The 6,333-nt window shown below is 35.7% G+C and overlaps 1 pseudogene; it reads left to right on the top strand.

Annotated features, from left to right (window-relative positions):
* Nucleotides 1-4,678: 4,678 nt before the first annotated feature.
* LOC107987379 (olfactory receptor 4Q3-like) lies at nt 4,679-5,948 on the top strand (annotated as a pseudogene).
* The last annotated feature ends 385 nt before the right edge of the window (nt 5,949-6,333 follow it).

The following is a 6,333-nucleotide window of genomic DNA, read 5'->3' on the forward strand; positions in this document are numbered from 1 at the left end:
TTCATTTTTTTGCTGTGATTATGTAAAATCACACTTTTCATATTCTTTTTGGAACGGACTTTGTTATCCTGCTATCCCTCATTAATTAAATACAGTTTTTGATGTGTTCATTATGTATTTGTTTGAGAATTATGTTTTATGATATTTAAAAATTAGACTGACAGTCTATAAAAAATTAAATTACTAATGACAACAGCTGTGTTTTCTGGATACGATCTATGAATAAATGCCAGTAGGTAAGCTGCTTGAGGTTTCAAGAAATCAGGTGTTGTATCAAGACACTCTATATTACCTTAAAGGATAAATACCAAGCTATCCCTGGAATTATCTCAGAGATAAATACCTTAGGTTGGTATTTATCCTTCAGCTTCTGCTACTTCAAGGAGCATGATTGAGATAAAAACCAGTGAGAATCTTCTTCAGATACAGACTGAGGCATTGAAAATGGATGGCATATACAAACAAATCAATGACAAATTACAAATAAATCAATCCAAAGTAAGTAAAATAAGTGGGTTCTGTTATGCAACAGGTCTAATTGCTTCAGAGCCTGCAGGTCCCAAGGTCAACTTCCTAGCAAGAACTAAATTTAACAGAACTCAAACAGCAGCAGCCTAGGGAATCCCAGGGCTCATTAAGCTAAGTAGTGTTGTAAGAACCATAGCAACCTCAGATACAGCTAGAGTCCTAGGGATAGGAGATATTTCCAGTTCATACAGCCAGCCGTCAACTAGGGCTTGGCTTATAAGGAAGCAATTAAGACATGTGCTGGGCAGCTGTGATGGTCACCTGAGGATTGTCCATTTTGCTGGCCTGAGGCTGAAGAGAGGGTTGGTAGGATGAATGGCAGGATAACATCTTCCTTCCTTGAAACCACATAGCTTCTGACAAGCAAAGATGTAGGTTTCTCAGATATATTTACTCAAAGCTCCCCTCCCCTTCCTGCTCCTCTGTCTGACTCTGATGCTATTTTTATGTTTACTGTTGTCCTCACTCTTTTTCTCTATATACTCTGGCATTGATCATTTTTAAATTTAAGAGATCATTTGAGTTTTGTTGTTTTAAATTTACACTTAGAAACATTCACAGAACAGTGAAATTCCTATAGCATCAAGGAATTCTAGGGCTAGTGGCATCTTAGAAGACAGTTGCAATATTTGGATACGATAGGACCAAATTTACATAACTGAAGGCACAGGTTTCATGGCAATATTGTCTTAAGACTACCTAATTCTGTTATAGTCCCTTCTAGATTCTGTTTTCCATTTCTTTAATTATTAAAGTTTCTTTTTACTAAAATCTTCTTTACGTTCCACAGGTACAATATAGAATGCAATGTTTCAAACAAGGCCAAAGAAGTTTAGAACAGAAAGATTGTTTCTTTCTCAATAGAGAATACCACTATAGGTACCATCTTCAACTAATGGTGTCCACTTCTTGTTTTTCAGGAGAAATTTAAAAATGCATCAAATGCGTCTAAAAGGAATTCATATGGAATTGAAACTCCAGCTAGCCAATTATTTTCTATTGTTGAGATAGTCAAATTTCCTCCTCTAATAATGCATTTAGCTCCACACAGACCAAAATAAATACAAGACAAACATAATAGCAAAATATGGTATACTGTTATGCTTAAAACACACACATGCACAAGTTACCAGGAGAAAAATTTTACTCCTTTTCTTCATATTTTCCTCATAAACATCTCTGGTTCCTTGTTTAGAAAGACAAGAGACCAGCTGCTCAGCTGTACACAAGTAGCCTTTGATTATTTAAGGTGCTTTAGTTTGTCCTCTTCTCTCTAAGCAGGACCCTTCCATAAAGACTTTCATTTTGCATTAAGCATTCTCAATTTTTTTGGCTCATTTTGTGTACTTAAAAATATTTTTATTGACTTTTTCACATTCTTAGGTTATTTTTAGGATATGAAACATGAAATGCTTGGTAGGGTCTGATCTTACTGCTAATGGGATAATGGAGCTGGTATTTTTGAATGTGGCTTTCCAAGCTCTGCAGGGCTTTGGCAAGGGAAATTATATTGTGACTGGGGTTAGTTTTGGGATGTAGACATTCGTTCATGTTGTTGGGTGTATTGTTCTTTTTATTCTTTGCAGAACAGTGACAGGCTTAATTTCCTACTGTGATCAGACTTCAGAAGCTGGGAGATGACTCAACCAAATGTGGAAATGTTATTAAACCTAAAAGGGAGCTTTCTATATTGTTTAGTATTATGTTTTATATTGTCTGAAGATTGCAAATTTACTGTCATTAAAAAAAAAATCCAAGAATAACCAGAATCCAGCCCTTACCTTGATTAAAACTCAAATAACTAACATACAGGGCTGCCTATTTTTAACTTATGCAAGTGTAAAGATTTTTATATCATTATTAATCAAAATCTTATCACAGTAATCACCTAGGAACTGTCCAGAATATTTATAGTGCTGAAATTTCCTAATATTAAATCTTACTTTAAACAAGTAGGCCATAAAATCAGGCTTATAAATGGTTTGTAGTAATTTGGCTTATAACATATTTTACATATTCTTCTCTTATTTAATCTATCCTTCTGATTTATTTAATTTTAATATTGTCTGTTTTAATGTAATCTTTTCTTTCCCAACATATGTTCAGTGGAAATAACAAGTGTACCGTACACCCTTGGTATACTATGCCCTTCACATTAGGAAATAATCACATTGTTTCTCAGCCATATTCTGAGACTAAATTATAACAGTGTGTAGGATTATGTGTTCCCATTGTTTTCTGGCTTCTAGAAACCTTTTTTAATTAAAAAAATAACTTTGGTTTCTCTTTCTCAGACTTTTCCAGTTTTCCCAAGATTATTTTAAAAATTAGATGCATAATTTTAATGAGACTTGACCCCTGTTAATTATACATTTTAGATAACTGAAAAGAACATCAAAATGATGTTTTCTTATGGAACTTTACAATCCTTGGTGCATCCAAAAAAGATTAGAGAATTTCCAATATAGCAGAGCTCAAGTAGGGCTGTACACATAACAGCAAATCGTTCCCTAACTTGTATTTCTTGCTTTGGTTTATTTTCCAATTGACTCTAGAAAGTGAGGTGATTCCTTCTATCAGTTATGAGATTATAGATTTAGATGCACCTGTGCACTTGGCTATATAGGTAGATGAAGAGGATGGTCACAATCATGGTGTGACAGAGGCGTCCAAATGTGACTTGAGCCCCAAATCTCTCTCTCACTGGCTTATCTTGGAATAATACCCTAGAGAAAGTTTTCTTGTCATTAGAGGTTTTCATTTTTAGAATTTAAGTACTTTTCTGCATTGTCTATGTAAATACCTGATATCTATTATGAAGGATTTTATTGGATAACATTCTCTGAATGACTTGATAGAACCAAGTGCAACATGGATTACAAAGCTTGGAACACAAAATAAAATCTTGTCTTATTTCATATTTTGTCTATAGCTGGTTCTAGATAAAAAAAAATTCTAGACAGGGAGACATCTACTAATTTTTACTGCAATGGAAGAAATGTATCAACATTCTCTGATTTTCTGTTTGTAATCCAAGGTACTGTCACCAAACATTGGGGATGAATATGAGTGTAGAGCAGGGGAAAATATATCTAACAATATCTTAGCAAATCTTTTATTTTCTTATGTATCTATGGTTGTTGAAAAGTCCAGAAGCAACACAACTCTGGTTTCTCTTATTACTTTGTCCTGTAAAAGGGTCATGGTGGGCTTTTGTGCATGCCTCCACGATATGGGTCATGGCTCTTGGTCTCTTGTCTTGGTGATTGGTGTCTTTTAATCATTGTCCTACTCATCCCCAGTCTGATGCTTCCCTAAATCTTAAAGATTGAGACTGTTTCTTCTTACCTCATTTTTACAAACTTCCCAATTTCTGTAACCTGGGATAGTAAAGACAAAAAATATGAGCTTTTTCAATCCTTCCTAAATGATTTGTTTCCTAATATATTTATTCACAGTAACTACTAAACTTTGTACAACATAGCAATTTGTTGTTTACAAAACATTCTTCCTTCGATTTGATAAATTATTGAGCTTCTGCTATGCAGTAAATATTGTGTTGTGGATACAAAGATGAGTAAGATATTTCCTCATCTTGAGAGATCTAGTTTTTTTTTTATGGTGCACATAGGCATTACATTTGATTCTCAGAACAATCTTGGGAGATATTATTAACTCTGCATTAAATTGAATAACCAAAGAACAAAATTCAGAGAGGTTTATTTCCTTGCCTGAGAGTACTCCATTGGTAATGGTGGAGCTAGGCATTCGATCTAGATACTCCATTCCAGAACTTTTGTCCTTAGAGGACATTATTCTGTCTATTAAAAGAAATGGAAAGATTAGCACTTACCACCTCATGTCCAGGTCATTGTGTTTCTTTCTAGTTTATTGTGAATGCAATTTAAAAGTAGTACAGGAATAAAGAGTTGGAAGAAGTGAACAAAATTCAATGTTCTATCAATATAAGACTACTGCCTATACTACCTCATAGAATTTGCTAAAATAATTTTTATGTAATTTATGTATTACATACTATATATATAGTGTATATCTATATCTATCTATATAGATAGATAGATACGTAGATAGATTGATACCTTAAATCTCCCTTGTTCTGATTTAATTCTTCTTTCTCTAGGTCACTTGATATTCTTGGCTTGATGAAAAAAAACAAGATTCTAACGTGACAGAACTTGTTCTTCTGGGCCTATCATCTTCTTGGGAGCTGCAGCTATTTCTCTTATTACTATTTTTGTTTTTTTACATTGCTATTGTCCTGGGAAACCTCTTGATAGTGGTAACAGTGCAAGCCCATGCTCATCTGCTCCAATCTCCTATGTATTATTTTTTAGGTCATCTCTCTTTCATTGACCTATGCCTAAGCTGTGTTACTCTGCCAAAGATGTTAGGGGATTTCCTACAGCAGGGCAAGAGCATCTCTTTTTCAGGATGCCTGGCCCAGATCTACTTCCTCCACTTTCTAGGAGCCAGTGAGATGTTTTTGCTGACAGTTATGGCCTATGACAGGTATGTTGCCATCTGTAACCCTTTGCGCTACCTTATAAGTCATGAACCCCCAGCTGTGCCTTTGGTTGGTTCTTGCCTGCTGGTGTGGGGGTTTTATCCACTCTATCATGCAGGTCATACTAGTCATCCAGCTGCCTTTCTGTGGCCCCAATGAACTGGACAACTTCTACTGTGATGTCCCACAGGTCATCAAGCTGGCCTGCATGGACACCTATGTGGTAGAGGTGCTGATGATAGCCAACAGTGGTCTGCTCTCTCTTGTCTGCTTCTTGGTCTTACTATTCTCTTATGCTGTCATCCTGATCACCCTGAGAACACACTTCGGCCAGGGCCAGAACAAGTTCCTCTCTACCTGTGCTTCTCACCTGACAGTGGTCAGCCTGATCTTCATGCCATGTATATTCATCTATTTGAGGCCTTTCTGCAGCTTCTCTGTGGATAAGATATTCTCCATGTTTTACACAGTGATGACACCTATGTTGAGCCCCCTCATCTACACACTCAGAAATGCTGATATGAAGACAGCTATGAAGAAGCTGAGGATAAAACCATGTGACATTCCATTTCCTTGTTAAAGAATGAGCAGAAGAGGTGATTTGAAAAACATACTCTTTCTTGGAAGACTCTTAACTCATCTTGTACATGTCTAAAAACCATTTTGATGACTTTGGTATAAAAAAGAAGATAGCCTAAAGATTATAATAGATCACTCTTGATTACAATTTAAAAGCACAGGTGGCACTCTGGAAAGCCACCTATGCCTTTTGACCATAATCAAGAGAACTCGGGAACTCAGTAGAATTTACTGGCCACAAATGATAACAAGCATTAATTGAAAGATCAACTTTTCTATCTTCATGTTCTAAGTACTCTTCATTTATTCAATTTGTTCCACTTTTTAATCTATTCAAATGAAACAAGATATGTCTCTTTTTGTGTTCCTTTCCTCCAGCATTTAATGATTCCTAGTGTTAGGAAGTTCCTTCTGATGTCTCATCAGATCCTCTTCTGAAGTAGTGTGAATTTCTTTGTTCTGTTATAACAAAGCCTGAGAAGAGTAACAACCACCTATGTAGTAGTATTTACCTCAGAACTGTGTTCCACAGTGTCCCAAGTTTTAGAAATGTAGTCAGGCATCACTCTAATGAACATATGCTCTTAACAAAGTTTATGTGTGAGAGAAAGGAAGTCCAGGAGTGCAGGGGTGATGGAAGCTGTTAGTATTCTGTTGTAGAGGCTTCTCAAGAAGAGGTACCCAGTTTCACATTGAGTTTT

Source organism: Homo sapiens (genome assembly GCF_000001405.40).
Source record: "Homo sapiens chromosome 15 unlocalized genomic scaffold, GRCh38.p14 Primary Assembly HSCHR15_RANDOM_CTG1".
NCBI lineage: Eukaryota > Metazoa > Chordata > Mammalia > Primates > Hominidae > Homo > Homo sapiens.